We start from the raw sequence: 24,324 nt of genomic DNA on the forward strand, positions 1-24,324 counted from the left end.
TTCTATTTTATGTATGTTTTAAAACATATGTTAGTATAGTAGTATATGTTTATAATTATTTAAAAATAAATTGAGATACATGGCCAACACATTTTTACTGATGGGAATGTGTGTTTTAAAAAGTTTGAAGACCACTAATCTATACTATTATCAGAATTACATTTTAAAAATAGAAATCTGGACTCAGTACTTCCCTACTTAAAAGCCTTTAATTATTTCCTGTTGCTAACAGGATAAAGACCAGTCTGCTTAGCATTGTTTACAAGGACCCTTTCAAATTAGTCTATCTAAATCAGAGCTTCTCAAACTATCAGTGGTGAAAGATCAGGCTCCCCACTCTATAATCTTTCAAGAACTGATATTTTTGTAAAATACGTTATTAGAAAAAATGAAATTTTCAAAAGACATACAAAATAAGGCCACGTGTCTTTTTATTATTTTTTTTTAGACGGAGTTTCTGTTGCCCAGGCTGGAGCGCAGTGGCATGATCTCGGCTCACCGCAATCTCTGCCTCCTGGGTTCAAGCGATTCTCCTGCCTCAGCCTCCCAAGTAGCTGGGATTACAGGCACCTGCCACCACACCAAGCTAATTTTTGTATTTTTAGTAGAGACGGGGTTTCTCCATGTTGGTCTCGAACTCCTGACCTCAGGTGATCCACCCACCTTGGCCTTCCAAACTGCTGGGATTGCAGGCGTGAGCCACCGCACCTGGCCACCAAGTTTTTTATTACTAAATGTAAGACATTTTACTCTGCCATATTGCAGGAAAGTTTCTAAATGTTCATTCCCAATTTCGATACTTGTGCCTTTATGGGCCAAGCATCAGTTTGCAGTCTATACTTGGAGTAACTGTGGTCTTTTTTCCCCTTTCTGCTACTTCTGGAGATCTTATATTAGGTTATTAAAAGCTAGTTATTGTTTTCACAGAAAGTCACGCACTTTTGCACCTGTATGCAGTGGTTCTTCAGTTGTGGTGTCTGGTCTAGGAGCATCACAGGGTCACAGGAGAGAACTTGCTAGAAATGCAGATTTTCAGGGCCCACCTCAGACCTACTGAATCAGTAACTCTGAGAGCGGGACTCTGCAATTTGTGTTTTAACAAGCCCTACAGGTGATTCTGATGCATGCTAAAGTTTGAGAACCACTAACCTAGGGTAGCCTTATATATTGCTAAAACCAGGACACTTTTTTTTTTTTTTTTTTTTTTTTTGGTTCTGGGAGACAGAATCTGTTTCTGTTGCCCAGGCTGGAGTGCAGTGGCATGATCTCGGCTCACTGCAACCTCTGCCTCCCGGGTTCAAGTGATTCTCTCTCCTTAGCCTTCCAAGTAACTGGGACAACAGGCGTGCGCCACCACGCCCGGATAATTTTTTATATTTTTAGTAGAGATGAGGTTTCATCATATTGGCCAGGCTGGTCTTGAACTCCTGACCTTGTGATCCACCTGCCTCCCAAAATGCTGGGATTATAGGCATGAACCACCATGCCTGGCCTGTTTTTTAAATTTACAATGAGAGTTTTCTGTTGTGTTCTCATTCCAGTATTCCTAAACTTTGTAGGTAGGATTAGTCACTCTTTATGATTTCTCTTAGCACGTGGTACATACCTCTGCTCTGCTATTGTGTGTATATGCCTTATAGTATAATTATCCCACTGTGTAGCTTGCAGACTGTCATGGCCATCGTTTTTGTGTCACTTTTACTTTTTTTTTTTTTTTTTGATCTTGCTCTGTTGCCAGACTGGGGTGCAGTAGTGCAATCATGGTTCACTGCAACCTCGATCTTCTGGGCTCAAGCGATTCTCCCACCTTAGCCTCCTGAGTAGATGGGACACAGGCGTGTGTTAACAGGCCTGGCTAATTTTTAAAATTTTTTGTAGAGACTGGGTCTCACTATGTTGTCCAGGCTGGTCTTGAAATCCTGGGCTCAAGCAATTCTTGAACCTTGGCTTCCTAAAATGCTGAGATTACAGGTGTGAGCCACTGCATTGGGCCCTATTTTTCATTATTTTTATTTTTGTTTTTTGAGACAGGGTCTCATGCTGTCACCCAGGCTGGAGTGCAGTGGTGCTATCTCGGCTCACTGCAGCCTCAACCTTCCTGAGCCCAGGTGAGCCTACCACTTTAGCCCTCTGAGTAGCTGGGACTACAGGCGTGCACCATCACACCCAGCTAATTTTTGTGTTTTATGTAGATACAGGGCTTTGCCATGTTATCCAGGCTGGTTTCAGACTCCTGGGCTCAAGCAACCCACCTGCCTTGGTCTCCTAAAGTGCTAGGTTTAGAGGCATGAGCCACTATGCCTGGCTCCCTAGTTTTTAAATTATAAAATTAATACCTGCAGCATTTAAAGTTGTAAAATGAAAAGTTTAATTTTTAAATCTCTCCATCCTCATGTCTACTTTCTAGTAGTAGTCTCTGTTACTACATTGACTATCTTTCTAAATCTCTTTTTTTTGATATGTATGTCTAGCTATGTTGACCATGCTGATGTTGAACTCCTGGGCTCAAGTGATCCTCCCACCTCAGCCTCCTGAGTAGCTGGGATTACAGGCACATGCCAGCATGCTTGGCTTAACTCTTCTTCTAGAAACCTACACACACACATTTTTTTTTCTTACAAACGTGAAAATAATGCACTCATTCTGAAACTCTGTTTTCCTCATTCAGTTGTGCATATTGGATTAACTTCTCTGTGTTAATGCAAAGGGTTGGATTGTCAAAGCATCTTCATCTGAATGTGAAATCTTACCCAACTCCAAACCTTACTCATGATTCAGAGGTTACAGGCAGAAGCCGCAGACACAGATGAGCATTCCTTCTTGGAGGAGCCCCCAGCCAGCAGGCACAGCTTCCAAAGAATTTCACTTTCTTCTACATTGGGACATATTATCAACATACTGAAAATAGTTACATATGACTGATATGAAGTCACTTCTACATGTATTTATGATAAACTTACTGTAGTTTTTTTTGTTTGTTTTTTCTTGAGATGAAGTTTTGCTCTTGTCACCCAGGCTGGAGTGCAGTGGCATGATCTTGGCTCACTGCAACCTCCGCCTCCTGGGTTCAAGCGATTCTCCTGACTCAGCCTCCCGAATAGCTGGGATATCAGGCATCTGCCACCACGCCCAGCTAATTTTTGTATTTTTAATAGAACAGGGTTTCACCAAGTTGGCCAGCTAGTCTGGAACTTCTGATCTCAAGTGATCCGCCCACCTTGACCTCCCAAAGTGCTGGGATTACAGACATGAGCCACCACGCCCGGCCCTACTGTAGTTCTTAATTTGTTTACAGAAGTAAAATTCAACCTTGGGACACAAGTTTTTGCTTTGGATTAACAAATGTTTTTCCTAAAGAAAGCCTTTTCTGTTGTGGGAATCTCTAGTTTTTGTTGTTGTTGTTTTTTAAAGAGTCAGTGTCTCACAGGCTGGAGTACAGTGGCATAATCATAGCTCACTATAGCCTCAAACTCCTGGGCTCAAGCAACCCTCTGGCCTCAGCCTCCAAAGCCACTGAACCTGCCAAGGGGAATCTCTAGTTACACAAATAGAAAATGCCTGTGATTTTCTCCTGTTTTCCAGCTAGCCATGCCCCAGACATCCATAAATTCTCAGATTATTTACAGAAGGCAATTAAGGGAGACCAGATATATCCTGATATTTTAAAATAAGAGACCATTTCTTATCTATTACAAACCTTTATCATGTTTGCTAGGAAGTCAGCTGTCATGCAGGGAATCCCCCAAGCTTGTCCAACCCAGGACGGCTTTGAATGCAGCCTGACACAAATTCATAAACTTTCTTAAAACATGATGAGATTTTTTTGCAATTTTTTTTAAAGCTCATCAGCTATCATTAGTGTTAGTGTATTTTATGTGTGGCCCAAACAATCCTCCTCTTCCAATGTGGCCCAGGGAAGCCAAAAGATTGGACACCCCTGTGGCTGAAGGAGTGAGCCACAGGCTTGCTGTTAACCCTTTCCCCCTCATCCCCTTTTCAGTACATTCAGACCTATTTCATCATTTTAATTGCTTTTTTTTTTTTTTTTTGAGACAAAGTCTTGCTTTGTCACCCAGGCTGGAGTGCAGTGGCACGATCCCGGCTCACTGAAACCTCCACCTCCTGCGTTCAAGTGATTCTCTTGCCTCAGCCTCCCAAGTAGCTGGGATTATAGGCGTCTGCCACCACGCCCAGCAAATTTTTGTGTTTTTAGTACACAAGGTTTCACCATGTTGTTCAGGCTGGTCTCGAGCTCCTGACCTCAAGTGATCCGCCTACCTTGGCCTCCCAAAGTGGTGGGATTACTGGCGTGAGCCACAGCGCCCGGGCTGATCGCTTTTGATAATTTACTTTTTCCAGGAGTTTTGCTATTAAAAATGTGGTAAATACCCTTGCACACACATCTTTGTCCCCCTTTGCCAGTTTTTCTTTCAGAGTGACACTCAGAAGTAAAAATTGTACACTCTTAGGACAACTTAGCAGTGTCAGTATACATTGTGTAAATTTTTATTTCCACCTATTTTTTCATGACATTTGGAGTATAAACTATTATTAATCTCTAATAAATCAATAAATGTCAGTTGAGATTTGGCAGTAAAAAAATGTCATCTTATTGTTTTAGTTTGCATTCTTCGATTTAGAGAGGTTGATGTGTTAATGACCAGCAGGCCGCTCTTGTCAATCCTGTTGGGCTGTATGCTGCTATATGAGAGTACAGTGCTGTCATGACTGCCCTTTTGTTATTCACAGTTACCTGTCACTGGGTAGTTGTAAGAGTTGTACAGTTGAGATGCTGAGCACATCAGAAGTGTTTTTTTGATGCTCTATTCAGCACTTCTTTTGGTATTCCCATTGAATCCAGTGAACATTTGGATGGAATACTTAGACCTTTTATCAATGTCAATGGCATCCGTTATTGGTTTTCAATATGTTTTTTTGCTTAATGATCTTGAATTAGAAGATAAAGATGTCATTCAGCCACCATATCCAGGTTGATGTAAGAAAATTTTGATTGTATAATACTTGTATTTCTTTGATGGTTCATTACAAGTGTGTATCACTAGTAAAAATGATCACTGAAAATGTCTCATTTTGGTCATAGCAAAGGGTTTTGCTAGCCTTTTGAGTTTTTAATTACGTTACATTTTAGATTAATTTCATCAAATCACTGGAATTAAGAAAACATTATCCATAGAGAATGCCACTTTGAGTGGTTTCTTTTTTCTTTTCTTTTTCTTTTTCTTTTTTTTTTTTTTTGAGACAGAGTCTGGCTTTATTGCCTAGGCTGGAGTGCAGTGGCATGAGCTCAGCTCACTGCAACCTCCACCTCCCAGGTTCAAGCAATTCTCCTGCCTCAGCCTCCCGAGTAGCTGGAATTATGGGTGAGTGCCACCACGCCTAATTTTTGTATTTTTATTAGAGACGGGGTTTCTCTGTGTTGGCCAGGCTGGTCTCGAATTCCTGACCTCAGGTGATCCACCCACCTCGATCTCTCCAAGTGTGGGATTACAGGTGTGAGCCGTGGCGCCCAGCCTGGGTGGTTTCTTTCAAGCTGTAGATGACTAGTAAGAGTCTGAGATCATTTGTACAGCTTGGGAATTTTTCTTTTATTTTTTGTTGAGATGGGGTCTCCCTTTGTCACCCAGGCTGGAGTGCAGTGGCATGATCATGGCTCACTGTAACCTCAACCTCCTGGGCTCAAGCGATCCTCTCACCTCAGTCTCCAGTGTAGCTGGGATTACAGGTACAAGCCACCACACCAGCTAATTTTTTTGTTTTTGTAGAGATGAGGTTTCACTTTGTTGCACAGGCTGGTCTCAAACTCCTGGATTCAAGTGATCCTTCTGCCTTGGCCTCCTAAAGTACTGGGATCACAGTGAGCCACTGCTCCTGGCCTGGTTCAATAAATTTTGATAAGTATATACATCTGTGTAAACCATACCCCCTTCAAGACACAATGTGTCCATCACTCCAAAAAAGCTTCCTTGAACCCCTTCCCAGTGTAGGGGAGGGAAAATAGCCTCTACCCTTCTAAGTTTTCGGTTGGGGCCCCTGTAATAAAGGGTAGATTAACAAGAGAAAAACATGTAAACTTGTTTAATATAAGTTTTATGTGACATGGGAGCCTTCATAAGGAAAGGAAGACCCGAAGAAACAGTAAAACCTGAGTGTTTTTAAATTAGGTTTGATGAAGAAGGAAGAGTTGTGGAATGTGATAGGACAGAAAGGGATATGAGCCAAGAGTAGTAAACAGGGAAAAACTTAACAAGGCCTGTTTGTTCATATTCCTCTGGGTGTTCCTCTATTTTTTTTTTTTTTAATTTTTGAGACAGGGTCTCACTCTGTTCCCCAGGCTGGAGTGCAGTGGCATGATCATAGCTCACTGCAGCCTCAACCTCTTGGGCTCAAGTGATCCTCCTGCCTCAGCCTCCTGAGCAGCTGGGACTATGGGTATGTGCCACCATGGGTGGCTGATTTTTGAATTTTTTTTGTAGAGATGGAATCTCACTGTGTTGCCCAGGCTGGCCTCAAACTCTGGGGCAGAAGTGATCCTCCTGCCTCGGCCTCCCAAAGTGCTGGGATTATAGGCATGAGTCAATGCGCCCGGCCACTCTGTCTTTTGAGATTAAGATGCTGCTATCTTCTGGGTATAGAGAGGACACCTCTCACATGAGGATCCTATGATCTGCTTCAGGGGAAGTCTTTTTTGCACCTGCTGTTTCTCAGATTCCTTCAACTTAAAATATTCAACAATGCCAAGGTGTCATATTTTGGGAGTAGCATGTTCTGAAGCCTGTCATAGTCAGTTCCCTATGACCCTGCCCCAGGTAAATTAATCTATAATTGTAGATTAGTTTTGTCAGTACTTGAACTTCATATGAATGTAATCATACAGTATGGTTTGTGCCTTTTTTGGGTCAGGTTTCTTTTTTTCCACATATCATTTTTGAGATTTATCCTTGTTGTGTGTATCAGTAATTTTTCCTTTTTATTTCTGAATATTATATACCATTTGTTTATTCATCTGTTACTAGACACTTGGGTTTTTCTAGTTTTGGGGTTTTTGTAAATAAAAATGCTGTAAACTTTCATGTGCAGGCGTTTTTGTGAGCATATATTTTCATGAATACTGAGTAAGTATTTGTGAGTGGAAGTGCTGGGTCATATAGTAAGTGTATTTTTAACTTTATAAGAAACTACCAATTTTCCGAAGTGGTTGTGATATTTTACGTTTCTCTTAGCAATGTACAATAATAGTTCCAGGCACTTCACAGCCTCGTTGAAACTTAGTGTTGTCTGTTTTTAAATTTTAGTTACCTTAGTGGGTGTGTAGTGGCACCTCATTGTGGTTATAATTTTGAATTTCACTGAGTGGAGCCTTGATAAAGAATGTTCTTGAGGTTTTCCTTAATTTTTCTACAGGATTGTAGCCATATACAATTGAAATTCATCTTTTATATTGTTAAATTTTTTCTTTAGGTGTCTTTAAGAGTGATTGAAGAGAATAATTCAAAATGCCTGAAAATCCTGCTACAGGTATACTGGATATATTGTTCTATAATTAAATTAATTATTTAAAAATGGAATCTCAAATGGGACTTAACTATTACTCTACTTATTCATCTTGACCCAAGATAAACTGCAGGTGCTGCAGGTACTTGATCGCCTGAAAATGAAATTGCAGGAGAAGGGTGACACGTCGCAGAATGAGAAGTTATCTATGTTTTATGAGACACTAAAGAGTCCTCTCTTCAACCAGATACTCACACTTCAGCAGTCCATCAAGCAACTGAAGGGTCAAGTAAGTTACCCATCAGAGTTTTACATTAATATATTATATTAATATATTCAAACCATCAAAGAAAGATAGAGGAGATAGACAAAGACAAATTATCTTTAAGGACTCAGTTCAGCAAAGAGACTGTATTGGGACCTGTAACCTATAACCTGTGGGTAGCATTGGCATAGATAATTTAGAAATATCAATAATCAATTTTTTCTTTGGTAACTGGATGTGGTGGCATGTACCGGTAGTCCCAGCAACTCAGGAGTCTGAGGTGGGAGGACTGCTTGAGCCCAGGAGTTCCAGGTTGCAGTGAGCTATGATCATGCCACTGCACTCCAGCCTGGATGGCAGAGTTGAGACCCTGTCTCAAAAAAAAAAAAAAAAATTGTGTTTGGTTTTAGAATATGGTTTTTGTACTTATTTAAGTATGTAAAGGTCAGATGCTTTGAGAATTCTCAACATCTTCAAAACTATAAAATAGTGCTTAACTTAAATATATTTTCTTTTTATTTTGAGACAAGGTTTCTCTCTGTCACTGAGGCGGGAGTGCAGTGCTGTGATCCTAGCTCACTGCAGCCTTGACCTCCCAGGCTCAAGCAATGTTCCCACCTCAGCTTCCAGAGTAGCTGGGATAGGTGTGTGCCACCACAGTTGGGCTAATTTTTAAAAATTTTATAGAGGCAGGGTCTCCCTATGTTGCCCAGGCTGGTCTCAAACTATTGGCCTCAAGCAGTCCTCCTACCTCAGCCTTCCAAAGTGCTGGGATTATAGGCATGAGCCACCTTGCCCAGGCGTATTTTCCTTATGAAGTCTTTTTTTGTGTGTGTGTGTGGTCTTTTTTTTTGTGTGTGTGTGTTATTATTATTATTTTTTTTAGTAGAGACGGGGTTTCACTGTGTTAGCCAGGATGGTCTGTATCTCCTGACCTTGTGATCCACCTGCCTCAGCCTCCCAAAGTGCTGGGATTATAGGCGTGAGCCACCTCGCCCGGCCGAAGTCTTTTATCTAACAAGAAGTGATCATGCCCTTATAGCACAATAGTCACACTTCTCTTAATTATCAAATATTTGTTGTCTTTCATGCGTATTCTGATTAGAAGTTCCTTGGAAGCAGAATACCTGGTATTTAAATATATAGTTATGTTTCTTCTACTCATTTACCACACTATCTGGATTCTTCAGGCTCTAATACATCATTATTGAATAAGGGACACATATCACCTCTTCTTAGAGGGGTGCAAATTAGCAGTTGTGGGATTTTTTTTTTTTTTTGGTGCTGAGATTGAACCAGAAATTAATTGTTTTAACTGTCCTCTTGGATTCTTTGTTTTGGGGTCAGGGATGGCAAATTACTTTTAAATCACCTATTCTGGAAGCTGAACTTGAATAGTAGCTATACCATAGATGAAATTTGGGCAGAATTTAAAACATAATTGGAGCTAATTTAGCACAGTTAAGTGAAAATTTACAAAATTTGGGAAAAAATGGTTTTTGCTGATAAACTAAAATGCTTGCCCATTAAGTATTTTGTGAGTGATTTGTTTATAGCCAATTAAGGATTAAATTCTACATGTGTCTTTCTGTGAATTGCTTTCTTTAGACCAGAATTTATACCCTAATTTTAGCACTGCCTATATTGATGTTTAGCTTTCTGTATTTCTCTTGGTCACAGAATATCACAATAGTGAATGCTGTTGGTAGCAACTGAAATTGGCAAAGATCAGCAGAAATCTATCACACTTGTTGGACTAAGAGTGGCTGTAACTACCCTATCCTAATAACAATTCTTTATATTTGTATAGTTTGGAGTTGTTATGTACACAGTCATATTTTATGCATTGGACTGTATAATCCCTGTAGCCAGGGGTTTTTTATTTTTTCTTTGAGGTTTTATTGACATTCATTTTTTTTTTTTTTTTTTTTTTTTTTTTTTTTTGAGGCAGAGTATTTGCCTGGGCTAGAGTACAGTGGTGTGATTATGGATCATTGTAGCCTCAACCTCCTGGGCTCAAGCAATCCTCCCACTTCATCCTCCCAAGTAGCTGGGCCTACAGGCATGTGACACCATGCCCAGCTAATTTTTGTATTTTTTGTTGAGACAAGAGTCTCACTATGTTGCCCAGGCTGGTCTTGAACTCCTGGCCCTGAAGCAGTCCTCCCACCTTGATCTCCCAAAGTGCTGGGATTACAGGTGTGAGCCATCACACCCGGCCTAACATTTATTCTGTTTTTTTTTTTGGAGACAGAGTCTTGCTCTGTCATCCAGGCTGAGTGCAGTGGTGCAATCTCGGCTCACTGTAGCCTCCACCTGCGGGATTCAAGCAATTCTCTTGCCTCAGCCTCCCAAGTACCTTGGAATTACAAGTGTGTACCACCATGCCCGGCTAATTTTTGTATTTTTGATAGCGATGGGGTTTCACCACTGACATTTATTCTTAATGTTACCTTTATTCTACTGTTTTGGCAGTTGTATCAGCCAATGATATTTTAAATTATGTCCACCATAATTACATGATTCTCCTCTTTCTATCAATGTTTAAGTGGCTCCGTGACTCACTGCTAATCTTGAGTAAGTTACTTAACCCCTGTGTGCCTCGGTTTTTAGGCTCACAAAATGGGATAATGATATCTCATTAGATTGTTGTAAGAATTAAATGATAATACCTGCAATCATGCTGGTATAGTACTTACTCATAGCAAGCACTCAATAAGTACAGTTATTATCATTATATACTACCTGTGGATCTTTTGTTGCTCCCCACGTGGAATTGTACAGATAAATGGAAAAAGGTTTAGTGCCTTACACTGTTATGTGACTGGATGCATCTGTATATGTGAAGTGTAAAAAGATGTCAGTGTACATGCTGTTAACTTGGACTAGTGGTAGAAGGCAGGAAATAAGAACAAATTTTAAGCTATTAAACATTTTGTGTAATACTAAATTTAAAAAATTTTTAGCCTTGTGAATACACAGATTTGATCTATCTTTACCTTATTTCTTTTCCATGTATATATTTAATGTGCAAAGTATCTATGTAATGGTCAAAATATATTTAATAAATAGAAACAATTTTTCTATAGATTTCTGTTGATTCTTTTTTTTTCTCTCCAACAGCTCAACCATATACCCTCAGATTGTTCAGCCAACTTTGATTTTTCTAGGAAAGGTTTGTTAGTGTTCACAGATGGTTCCATCACTAATGGAAATGTCCACAGGCCCTCTAATAACTCGACTGTATCTGGGTTATTTCCGTGGACCCCGAAGTTGGGAAATGAAGACTTTAACTCAGTCATTCAACAGATGGCTCAGGTAAAGTTGTATCTTCTCATGGAAATATTTAGCTTCATTTCTCCTGTTTTAGTTTTACAAAGGAGCTTATACTCATTCTTTTTGCTGTAAAATGTATTAGTATGTATTTTGCTTGCTTCTATTTTTATATTGTTAGGAGAAACTGACACCATTTTCTAACCTGTGTGTTGAAAATTTATTGACTTAAAATTACATAAGGAAAGTATCCATGTATGTGGTAAGGAGAGCTTTTTAAAAAAAAATTAACATTTATTTTTTGAGATAAGGTCTTGCTAAGGAGAGTTTTTAGACAATGACTAATTGAACACATCTCTATTCTTGTTAAAATAAGATTTTTGGCCAAGCGCAGTGGTTCACACCTGTAATTGCATCACTTTCTGAGGCCGAGGAGGGTGGATCACTAGAGGTCAGGAGTTTGAGACTAGCCCGACCAACATGGCAAAACCCTGTCTCTACTAAAAATAGAAAAATTAGCCGGGCGTGGTGGCAGGCACCTGTAATCCCAGATAGTTGGGAGGCTGAGGCAGGAGAATCGCTTGAACCCCAGAGGCGGAGGTTGCAGTGAGCCGAGATTGCGCCACTGTACTCCAGCCTGGGTGACACCCCATAATTAATGGAAATTAGAACTAATGTAATTTGGAAAATCTAGAAAACATTTGGAAGGATAATCTGGTTGTAGCCCCTAATACCTATTAAAAATTAAATAATAAACAATTAAAATTTTGGACATGTTAGTTTTATGTATGTTCACCTCGACCTTCAAGTGCCATTAAAAATGAAATGAAGTTTGAATGTGGTAGCTTATATCTATAATCTTTGGGAGGCAGAGGCAGGAGGATTGCTTGAAGCCAGGAGTTCAAGACCAGCCTGGGCAATGTAGGGAGACCCCCATCTCTACAAAAATAAAAATAAAAATATAGTCGGGCATGGTGGCACTCACCTGTAGCTCCAGGTACCTAGGAGGCTGATGTTGGCAGATCACTTGAGCCCAGAAATTCAAAGCTGTAGTGAGCTATGATCGTACCACTGTACTTCAGCCTGGGTGACAGAGCCAAGACCTGTCTCTTAAAAAATAAATAAATAAATAGACAAACTTAAGTTGCAGTGTTAAATAGAATCTGTTTAAGGTGTGATAATTAAATAATATTCTGGTCCTAGTTTTTGACTTTATAGTTCTATCCCTTTCTTTCTTTCCTTTTCTTTTCTTTTTTTTTTTTTTTTGAGATGAAGTCTTGCTCTGTTGCCCAGGCTGGAGTGCAGTGGCCCAATCTTGGCTCACTGCAACCTCCACCTCCTGGGTTCAAGCGATTCTCCTGCCTCAGCTTCCCGAGTAGCTGGGACTACAGGCGTGTGTCACCACGCCTGGCTAATTTTTGTATTTTTAGTAGAGACAGGGTTTCACCATGTTGGCCATGATAGTCTCTCCTGACCTCGTGATCCTCCCGCCTCGGCCTCTCAAAGTGCTGGGATTACAGGCATGAGCCATTGCGCCGGGCCAGTTCTATCTCTTTCATCTGACTAGTAATTATTTTTATGTGGTGCTTTTTTTAGTTGATTACATTTATGAAGTTCTCATAAGTGCAGTTACTAACTAAAGCAATAAAATACCTGGCTGTCACAAGAACAGTTCTACCTGTTCTTACAGGTAGAACCCGTGTAAATGGTGGCCTTTTCAGAGTCTTTTGAATTTACCTAATAAATAGAATATCAATTGGGCTGCGCATGGTGACTCACGCCTGTAATCCCAGCACTTTGGGAGGCCAAGGCAGGCGGATCACGAGGTCAGGAGATCGAGACCATCCTGGCTAACACGGTGAAACCCCGTCTCTACTAAAAATACAAAAAAATTAGCCAGGCGTGGTGGCTGGCGCCTGTAGTCCCAGCTACTCGGGAGGCTGAGGCAGGAGAATGGCGTGAACCCAGGAGGCGGAGCTTGCAGTGAGCCGAGATTGCGCCACTGCACTCCAGCCTGGGCGACAGAGTGAGACTCCGTCTCAAAAAATAAATAAATAAATAAATAAATAGATATCAATTAATCAACAATAGAATTAAAAACAGAGCCCTATAAAATGCAGCTGGTTCTGACAGGCTAAATACTGGCATTTTTGATATATCTATTTTCCTCATTTAAAAATATATTTTGCGGCTGGGCACTGTGGCTCACGTCTGTAATCCCAGCAATTTGGGAGGCTGAGGCGGGTGGATCGCTTGAGCTCAGGAGTTTGAGACCAGCCTGGGCAACATGGCGAAACCCCGTCTCCACAAAAAATACAAAAATTTGCCAGGCATGGTGGTGCATGCCTATAGTCCCAGCTACCCAGGAGGCTGAGGCAGGAGGATCGCTTGAGCCCAGAAGACGGAGACTGAAGTGAGCCGAGATCACGCCACTGCACTCTACCCTGGGCAACAGAGCGAGACCCTGTCTCCAAGAAAAAAAATAAAATAAAAATGTACTTTGCATTGAGAGAATTTAAGGAAATTCAATGTAAAAAAGTAATTCAGAATTTACTATGGGAAAAGGCATTTTTCTCAGGAGTTTCCATCCAGCTTGGAATTCATCTCATAATGTGAATGAAGTGTGAAAATACCTCTGATTCCCTGAGGTTGCAGAACACTGCACACACTCTCTCTTACGTTCTACTGAAATAATCAGGTGAGAGGATTTCCAGAAATAATTTATTACTGAAATGCTGAGTTTATGTGGTTCTTAGGGGAAGCTGCTTTTATGCTAAGCAATTTCAGTTCTGCAGACAGAGTATGTTGGCTAAATGTACACCATTGACTTTTTTTTTTAACGCTCCTTCATTAGGGCCGGCAAATTGAATATATAGATATAGAACGGCCTTCAACTGGAGGCCTTGGATTCAGTGTGGTGGCCCTCAGAAGTCAAAATCTCGGAAAAGTTGATATCTTCGTGAAGGATGTCCAGCCAGGGAGTGTAGCAGACAGGTGAGGAAGCTGTTTATTTTCATTTTGCTAATTGTTTCCTGATAATTCTGAAAACTATTATAAAGAGAGTGAAAAACTAGTAATAAAAACAGTAACAGTAACAGCTAACATTTTTGCTTTCGTTTTTGCTATGCATTTGTCAGGCCTTTTGCGAAAATCCTATACCCCATGGCAGCAGTTCCACTATATAGGTATCATCATTCCATTCTGTAGATGAGAAAGCTGAGATTCAGAGAGGTTCAGTGGTCAACCTATAGTCACAGAGCTGTTAATGCTGGAGCCATGATGTGATTCCAAGACCATCTGACTGCAAAGCTAGTGCGCTATTTCCCTCTCTTACAACTGAACATGGTATTTTAGCTATGGACTGATCAGTAAGATAGGAATATTGAAGTTCTCATTCTGCATATTATATTGTTTATTATTCTTAAGATTATAACAACATTTTGGTGGTCATGTTACTCTACCTGATTTATTATGCTTATTGTCAGTTAAGAGGCCCCTCAAGTCTATGTTATCTCCCATGTTTGCATTTGCTTTTATTTTTTAAGGGGTATTTGCAAGCCTTTTATTTTGTCTCTGTTTGATTTCCAGTCTTTGGTTTATTATTCATTTAATAAGTATGCTATTCCAATGCACGTGTTAGAATAATAGCAACAATGGTAGTATATTATTATAAAATTCTTAGTTGATAATACATTTTTGAATTCACATCCTCCATTCTTGGGGGATTAATTCTAGTCTCCCCAACTCAGATTTCAAACATAATGAGTTTCCGTGACTTTGCATCTTTGTTCTGCCATCTAATGCAGCATTTCTTCAAGAACTGTAGTGAGAATGGGTAAACAGGAAGAGGAAGAATATCTGGTGTTTGGGAGATAATAAAATCAAATACAGTAAACCAGGACAGAGTAAATCCTAGGCTATCTTTAGGATGCACTTTAACATAAGAAGTTCAAGCCTGTGCTTCAGAATCTGACTCCTGATAAGATGCTAGGCTTGTCTAGGCTTCAGTTCCTTAATATTTAAAATTTACTAAGTACTTTAAAAGGTGATTGTGAGGATTATGTGAGATAATGCATGTAAAGCACTCAACATAGTACCTGACTCATGATAAGTGCTCAGTAAATACTATTTTTCTTTAGAGATTTTGCTAATTTCTTTTAAAAAGAGTCCTTCTTACCCTGGCTAGCAGTTGGGAGATTGGTGCTTGGGAGAGATTAAAAGGGCTCAGATTGGCCAAGCTCAGTGTCTCATGGCTGTAATCCCAGCACTTTGGGAGTTCAAGATCAGCCTGGGTAACATAGCAAAACCCCATCTCTACAAAAAATACAAAAATTAGCTGGGTGTGGTAGTCCATACCTGTAGTCTCAGCTACTCGTGAGACTGAGGTGGGAGAATCACCTGAGCCTGGGAGGCTGAGGCTGCAGTGAGGTGTGATTGTGCCATTGTACTCCAGCCTGGGCAAATAGGAGTGAGACCATGCCTGAAAAAAAAAAAAAAAAGCTCAGATATAAATTTGGAAGTAATCTCTATGAATTTTCAAGGAGGGTTTGGCCTCTATTGATAAATATTGGACAAGTAGACAGTGAAGATGGGGTGAGAGGAGGTTATTGGTGTAGTTGAGAATATTGTTACCCCAGTGTGGTATGGGTAGAGATCAGATTGGAAGGGGTTCGGGAGGTTTGGGTTCATGCAGTAATGGAGGCAGTGTCCATACTTGCAAAACCTTGGCGGTGGGGTCCTATAGATTGTTTTTGTTTATTTTTCTAGGCAGATAGCTTTTAAAGTGTGTCTGTGTGTTTAAGGATGCACTACCAAATTAGGTAATTAGTTAATAACTTCTGTGAAAAACACTCTGAAGAGCTCTGTTATATAATTAAATAATTTATTTGATAAATGTACTAAGTAAAGTAGTACCATAGGCAACAAACTGCTTAACTTTAATAGATTTTTAAAAATCAGGTTATTAGATCACTTAAAAAATTTCTTTTCTTACATGATTAAGGGATCAAAGATTAAAGGAAAATGATCAAATATTGGCCATTAATCACACGCCATTGGATCAGAACATTTCCCATCAGCAAGCAATTGCATTATTACAACAAACCACTGGATCTTTGAGACTGATTGTGGCCAGGGAACCAGTCCACACAAAAAGCAGTACTTCTAGCAGCCTAAATGATACAACTCTGCCTGAAACAGTGAGTTGCAAATTTGAAAAAATACTTAATTTTGAATAATGCCATTGATCGTAAGAAGTGTAAAGACATTTAGAAGGTGTCATTTTACCTTTCTTTCCTTTTTTTTTTTTGAGATGGAGTTTCGCTCTTGTTGCCCAGGCTGGAGTGCAGTGGCCAGATCTTGGCTCACTGCAACCTCCACCTCCTGGAATCAAGTGATTCTCCTGCCTCAGCCTCCCGAGTAGCTGGGACTACAGGCGCCCACCATCACACTTGGCTATTTCTTTTGTATTTTTAGTAGAGACGGGGTTTCATCATTTTGGCCAGGCTGGTCTCGAACTCCTGCCCTCAGGTGATCCACCTGCCTTGGCCTCTCAAAGTGCTAGGATTACAGGCATGAGCCACTGTGCCTGGCCCGTTTTACTTTTCATGGTTAAAAAAGATGATCATATCTCTGAATGCAGCGTTAGCATATTTAAACAAGATGTTTCATGACGGTCGTTTTTTTTTTTTTTTTTGTCTTTTCAATGTCCTGTGGGTCCCTTTAAGATTATTATTTAATATGGAGGCCAAATTGAAGTATTAGGTGTAATTTATTTAGTGATGGAGAGTCTTGTATTCCTTGGTGATGTAGCCAATTAATTGAGAGTTTTTATTAGAGATTTACTGTTGAGTGTTTAAAGTAAGGTTTGATTATTTGAAAAACATTATTTTTGAAAATTATAAGGGGATTTATGACCAGATTATTGATATTGCAAAATTATAGCAGGCTTTTTTTCATGTAAAGATACATACTGAACAATTTGAAAGAATAAAAGTGTATGTCTCTTTTGGGAACCCTTGAACTTGCTTTTTAACGTTTTACAGATTTTGGCTTGCATCGTCAGAATGCAAGCTAATAAATCTTATTTTCTTATAACACTAAGTGCTAGCTGATTTATTTAATTTTTATTCATTGGGACAAAAGAAAAAATAAGACTGTCTCAGTACAATACAAGGTCACAACAAAAATTAATGTATAGGCATTTTCCCTGTTGTAATCAGCAATATTTATACAGCAGAATTTACATAATAAATACAGTGAATAAAGTGGGGCATTGTTTAACGTATAAAGAACAAGGGCTTTGGAGTCAGGTTTGGATGCATTCAAGTCTATTTCTCCCATATCCTAGTGGTGTCACACCAGGCAGATTCCTTTACCTCATATCTTCCTTTGAAGATATGATGTCTAGTTCTCAGAGATGTTATGAGGCTTGAATGAGAAGGCACGTGAAGAACTAAGCACTGTGCCTGGTGCTGCATATACGTTCTCTGAATATTGGCTGCTATCAGCTGGTATTGTCAGGCACATTATTTTAGCAAACATTATTGTTTCCCAGATAGTAGATGTTCTAGACATGAATTTATTAAACAATCCCAATATTGCTTTTTTTTGAGATGGAGTCTTGCTTTGTCACCCAAGCTGGACTGCAGGGCGTGATCTCGGCTCACTGCAACCCCCGCCTCCTGGGTTCAAGTGATTCTCCTGCCTCAGCCTCCTAAGTAGCTGGGATTTACAGGCACGTGCCAACACACCCGGCTAATTTTTTTGTACTTTTGGTAGAGATGGGGTTTCACCATGTTGGCCAGGCTGGTCTCGAACTCCTGACCTCATGATCTGCCCACCTCGGCTTCCAAAAGTACTGGGATTACAGGCTTGAGTCACTGCACCCGGCCCTCCAATAATGCTTTTTATTTAAGACTGCATAGTAACTTTGCAATTTAGTGTAATAGAAAAACTGGATGGGTATGGTGGCTCACATCTGTAATCCCACCACTTTGGGAGGCCTAGGCAGGAGGGTCATTTGAGGCCAGGAGTTTGAGACCAGCCTGGGGAACATAGTCAAACCCCACCTCTATGGCCAGGCACAGTGGCTCATGCCTGTAATCCCAGCACTTTGGGAGACCGAGGTGGGTGGATCACCTGAGGTCAGGAGTTCGAGACCAGCCTGGTCAACATGGTGAAACCCTGTCTCTACTAAAAATACAAAAACTAGCCAAGCGTGGTGGTGCATGCTTGTAATCCCAGCTGGTCGGGAGGCTGAAGCAGGAGAATTGCTTGAACCTGGCAGGCGGAGGTTGCAGTGAGCTATTATGCCACTGTACTCCTGCCTGGGTGACAGAGTGAGACTCTGTCTCAAAAAAACAAAAAACAAAAAACAAAAAAAAACACCCCACCTCTACAAAAGATAATGGCCGGGCACTTTGGCTCACGCCTGTAGTCCCAGGACTTTGGGAGGCCAAGGCAGGCGGATCATGAGGTCAGGAGATCGAGATCATCCTGGCTAACACGGTGAAACCCCATCTCTACTAAAAATACAAAAAATTAGCCGGGCGTGGTGGCAGGTACCTGTAGTCCCAGCTACTCGGGAGGCTGAGGCAGGAGAATGGCGTGAACCTGGGAGGTGGAGCTTGCAGTGAGCCGAGATCACACCACTGCACTCCAGCCTGGGAGATAGAGCAAGACTCCATCTCAAAAAAAAAAAAAAAAAAAAAATTAGCTGGGCGTGGTGGTACATGCCTGTAGTCCCAGCTATTTGGGAGGCTGAGGCTGGAGGATGGATGATCACAGGAGTTTGAGGCTGACATGAGCTCTGATCATGCACTGCACTCTAACCTGGGTAACAGAGTGAGACCCTGTCTCAAAAAGAAAGAAAGAAAGAAAAACTAAGTAATGAGTATGCCCTAATGATCTTGAGAGGGAGGATATTGTTCTGCAGGTGGATTATGTGAAGTAATGCACATTTCTTATAGAAACCTGCTAGTTAGAGGGGAAACACTTATGTCTTTTAGTCTGATTTGTATAGTCCTATTGCTAATATCTTTAATGGGGCCTACCTGTCCTCTCCCTCATTAGTCTCTCCACTTCGTCTATAGGACACTTCGTGTCCTACCACCATTAGATTCTTCACATATGAATTTTCTTAAACCACTACTTTGGTCCTGTCATTTCTCTTCTAAACCTTTAACTATTTCCACTTGATTACCCAGTTAAATCCAACCTTTGACCATATCTTTCATCCATTGTGTTATCTGGCCTAGCTTTGCCCTTATATTTTCTTTTTGCTTAAATGTCTTCCTTTGTAGTGCAACTTAAATGCCCCTTTTCCTTGAAGTTTTCTGTAATTCTTCATTGGTTTTGACTTCATGTGCTCCCCTCCCTGTAAAAAATCTTTATAATATTTTGTGATTCTCTTTCAAGCAGACACATATTTACTGGTCCCTACTATGTGCTGGGCCCTGTGCTGGATATCCAGTGCAGCGTAAGGAATGAGAAATGTTTCCTGTGCTCTTAGGGCTAGTGCCTTATGATCCAATATTCTGCCTTGTATTTTAATTATTTGTGTTTTAGTTTCTCTCTACTGGATTATAAGATCCCTACGGTCAGGGACCATATGATTATCTCTGTCTGTATATCTTAGCCTGTAGAACATTGCCTTGATTAATTGCATGAATGTTCAATTTGTTGCAAATCTGTTACTTTGGTAATGATTGTATTGGAAAGCTAAGAACCTGTGTGTATTACTGATACTGCGACTCTTATTTGCCATTAATTTGTAGGTTTGTTGGGGCCATGTTGAAGAGGTTGAGCTCATTAATGATGGCTCTGGACTAGGTTTTGGAATAGTTGGAGGAAAAACAAGTGGCGTGGTTGTGAGGACTATAGTTCCTGGAGGATTAGCAGATCGAGTAAGTCAACCTTCCTTGTTATCATTTTGGTTTTATAAAATTTAAGTTGTATGAATTGAAATGTAATTTTATAACATGAGTTACCAGGATATATGACTTAATAACAAGAATTTAAGTATAGCTTAAAAATGATTTATTCTGTAAGTATTATTAGGCTACACTCAGTCTTATTTTAAACAGTTCCTAAATCAACATTTTTGGGGTTTGTTTTGCTTATAATTGACAGGCTTCATGATTACATCAGAGGACAATTTTTTTTATTGAAAAGCATTGTTAATGAATATTGCATTTTGAACATCTGTATTATTCTCCTCTAGTGTGTCTTTCGATGACCTAAATGTTAAAATCAGAAGATACAGTGATTATAAACATTTGTCCCAATATTATACATGGTAAATTTCACTTGAATTAAAATTTATGGTCTTATAAGTTAAATGACTACCTTTCATTGTTTAGCAGTGTTTAAACTGAAAGTGGGCTATTAAAAAAATTAGCAACTGTTTCTGCTTAATTTTATATTGAAGAAATGTTAATTACTACATTTAGTTTTTAGAAATTAGTTTAGAAATTTGACTCTGAAGCCACGTAATAATAAGCCCATATCATATAGAATAGGCATGATAAATCAGAAATAACTTTAGTTATTCCCATAATCAGAATGATATGTAAAATTTCACTGATTATTGCCCAGTTACATATAAATTTATCCCTTTTGATAGACATACGTAAGTAAAAATGAACTTGCCATGCAAATGCAGCTTCAAGGCAAGTTCCTTGGCTCTTCATTTCTGATCACTATTGCTTCACCTTATGCAGCTTGTGGAGCCACTGATGTTCCTATCATCATTTCAGCTCCTAAGAGTATTTATTTAGAACAGCAGTTGTCAAAGTTTGGTCTGTGGGCCTCTGGAGGGCTCTGAGAGCCTTGCAGGTGGTCTGTGAGATCCAAACAGCTTTTACAATAATACCACAATGTTATTATCCCTTTCACCCTGCTAACATTTGTACTGATGGTACAAAAGCAGCTGCAGGCTAAAACTGCTGGTGCCTTGGTGCAAAACAAAGGCAGTGGCCACAAACCGTTATAGTAATGATTGCATTATTTTCTGCCATGTGCTTGCAACAAAAAAGAAAAAAAATGCCGTTTTACTTGAATTTTTTTAAGATGCAGTAAAATGATTAATTTTAGTAAATTTTGATCATTTAGTGCATGTCTTTCGAATATTGTCAAAATGGGAAGTACCACCTAGCATTCTTGCTATGTACTGAAGTTTGATGGCATTTAGTACATGTCTTTTGAATATTGTCAAAATGGGAAGTACCACCTAGCATTCTTGCTATGTACTGAAGTTTGATGGTTGTCTTAAGGAAAGTCACCTGCAAGATTAATCTACTTTTTTTTTTTTTTTGAGATGGAGTCTCGCTGTGTTGCCCAGGCTGGAGGGCAGTGGCGTGATCTTGGCTCACTGCAAGCTCCACCTCCCAGGTTCTTGCCATTCTCCTGCCTCAGCCTCCCGAGTAGCTGGGATTATAGGTGCCTGCCACAATGCCCAGCTAATTTTTTGTATTTTTAGTAGAGACGGGGTTTCACCGTGTTAGCTATGATGGTCTCGATCTCCTGACCTCGTGATCCGCCCGCCTTAGCCTCCCAAAGTGCTGGGATTACAGGCGTGAGCCACCGCACCCAGCCAAATCTGCTACTTTTTTATGTGGAACACATTTTTATTTTTATAAAAATAAGTGCAGAAAAATTATGTTTATCCAGACTTGGGTATTTGGAAGATGTTTTCTTGAGAATGGATGATGTGAACCTGTTATTTCAAGGAAAACAACTGACACTGTTTGTTAGCAACAATAAAATTTGAGCTTAAGCAAAAAATTAGAATTTTGGAAAATTTGTATTTTACCATAAGCATGACATTTCCCTAATACTTAAAAGCTTTTCTAAGGCTGGGCGTGGTGGCTCATGCCTGTAATCCCAGCACTTTGGGAAGCCAAGGTGGGAGGCTCTCTTGAGCCCAGGAGTTCGATACCAGCCTGTGCAATATGGCAAAACCCTGTCTCTACAAAAGACACAAAAGTTAGCTGGGCATGGTGCTACTTGGGAGGCTGAGGTGGGAGGAGGTAGAGGCTGCTTTGAGCCGAGATTGTGGCACTGAACTCCATCCAGCCTGGGCGACAGAGTAAGACCCTGTCTCAAGAAAAAAAATAAAAACAAAAGAAAAGAAAGGCATTTCTGATTAGATTGTTGATTGATATTAACCAATATGATTGTCTTGATATTATATGATGAAATATGTCGGTATTTGGAAGGTCTGCATAACTGTGAATGGATATTCTATTTTCTTCCTTTTTTCTTTCTTTCTTTCTTTTTTTTTTTTTTTTTTTTTTTTAGCATAGTCTTGCTCTTTTGCCTAGGCTAGAGTGCAGTGGCGTGATCCTATCTCACTGCAGCCTCGACCTCCCAGGCTCAAGCAGTCCTCCTACCTCAGTCTCCCGAGTAGTTGGTACTACAGGCATGTACCACCATGCTAGGCTAATTTATTTTTATTTTTATTTTTTTGAGACAGGGTCTCACTCTGTCACCCAGGCTGGAGTGCAGTGGTGCTATCTTGGCTGACTGCAGCCTCTGCCTCTGGGGCTCAAGTGATCCCCCCACCTCAGCTTCTGGGGGAGCTGAGACTACAGACCCAGGCCACCATGCCTAGCTAGTTTTTCTATTTTTTGTAGAGGTGGGGTTTCACCATGTTGCCCAGGCTGATTTCAAATTCCTGAGCTCAAGTGATCCTCCCGCCTTGGCCTCCCAAAGTGCTGGAATTACAGGTGTGAGCCATTGCACCCGCCTGGCCTTATTTTTATTTTTTGTAGAGACAGTCTCGCTTTGTTTCCCAGGCTGGTCTCAAACTCCTGGCCTGAAGCGATCTTCCTGCTTAGGCCTTCCAAAGTGCTGGGATTATAGGTGTGAGCCACCATACCCAGCCTCAATATTTTCTGAAGACCAATATGTGATATGACAAAATAATATGTAGCTAAAAGATCCTTTCAAAAATCAAGATAGATCAGTGGATTTTAATAAAATAGTGTCTGAAAGTTTGTTGATATGGTTCCAGATTCTACATTGTAACTGTATAAGAAACCACCACTTGCCAAGTTTTGGTGTGTTATCAAAGAATAGGCTGAAAGGACTATTATAATACCCCTCCCCTTTCCAACTATATATCTGATTGAGGCCAGATATTCTTCATATACATCATCCAAAACAGTATATTGTAACATACTGAATGCAGAAGCAGATGAGTCCAGCTGTTTTAAGCCAGATATTAAAGAGATTTGTAAAAATATTAAACAGTCCCACTCTTACTAATATATATATATATAGAGAGAGAGATGGAGTCTTGCTCTGTTGCCCAGGCTGGAGTGCAGTGGTGCAGTCTTGGCTCACCACAACCTCTGCCTCCCAGGTTCAAGCGATTCTCCTACCTCAGGCTCCCAAGTAGCTGGGACTACAGGCATGTGCCACCATGCCTGGCTAATTTTTACATTTTTAATAGAGATGGGGTTTCACTATGTTGGCCAGGCTGGTCTGGAACTCCTGACCTTATGATCCATCTGCCTCGGCCTCCCAAAGTGCTAGGATTACAGGTGTGAGCCATCAAGCCTGGCGAATATTTTTTGTTTTGGAAAATATAGCTCTTTTAAAAATATAATGACATAATATACATAAATGATAAAAATTAACATACTAAATATTAAATATTTTAAAAATTCCTCAGTACCAATTTTTGCATATGTATACATTTGTGGATTCATCTTTACCAGATTTCTCCAGAGAAACAGAACCAATAGGACATGCGTGTGATTACTTTAAAAAAGATATTATTTTAAAAAATTGGCTCATGCCATGGTGGGGGCTGGCAAGTCCAAAATACGTAGGGAAGGCCAGGAGGCTGGAAACCCAGACAAGTGTTGATGTTGTAGTCTTGTGTTTGAGATCTATAGGGCAGGCCGGCAGAATGTCTGAGGAAGCTCTGTTACATTCTTGAGGCAGAATTTCTTCTCTAGGAAAGCTCAGTTTTTGCTTGTGAATTCTTCAACTGATTGGATGAGGCTCACCTACATCATTGAGGGTAATTTTCCTTTACTTAAAGTCAACTGTTTGTATATGCTAATCACATTTACAAAATACCTTTGCAGCAACATCTAGATTAGTGTTTGACCAAAACAGTCAGCACCACAGCCCAGATGACACATGTAATTTAACTGTTATACCATCATTACCACAATCAAGATAATGAGCGTATTCATTACCCCCAGCAGATTCCCGTACTACTTTGTAATTCCTATCCCTCCATCCTTAATAATTTTTAA

General features: G+C 40.1%; 1 protein-coding gene across 23 annotated transcripts in view; it reads left to right on the forward strand.

Moving 5' to 3' along the window:
- The window catches only part of PATJ (PATJ crumbs cell polarity complex component), a 421,436-nt gene that overhangs the window by 12,899 nt on the left and 384,213 nt on the right, over positions 1-24,324 (forward strand). For 22 of the 23 annotated variants that reach the window (XR_007061928.1, XM_011540462.4, XM_011540467.4 and 19 more), the window contains exons 2-7: positions 7,480-7,536; positions 7,635-7,801; positions 10,901-11,095; positions 13,905-14,044; positions 16,053-16,248; positions 19,828-19,956. Coding sequence is in view for 21 of the 23 variants with exons in the window: in XM_011540462.4 (XP_011538764.1) it covers positions 7,515-7,536; positions 7,635-7,801; positions 10,901-11,095; positions 13,905-14,044; positions 16,053-16,248; positions 19,828-19,956 (849 nt within the window). In the remaining 2 variants the exon portion in view is untranslated. Of the gene's footprint in view, positions 1-7,479; positions 7,537-7,634; positions 7,802-10,900; positions 11,096-13,904; positions 14,045-16,052; positions 16,249-19,827; positions 19,957-24,324 lie in introns of those variants that run through there. The other variant, XM_017000000.2, reaches the window with a different exon arrangement.

This window comes from Homo sapiens, chromosome 1, assembly GCF_000001405.40.
Source record: "Homo sapiens chromosome 1, GRCh38.p14 Primary Assembly".
NCBI classification, from domain to species: Eukaryota; Metazoa; Chordata; class Mammalia; order Primates; family Hominidae; genus Homo; species Homo sapiens.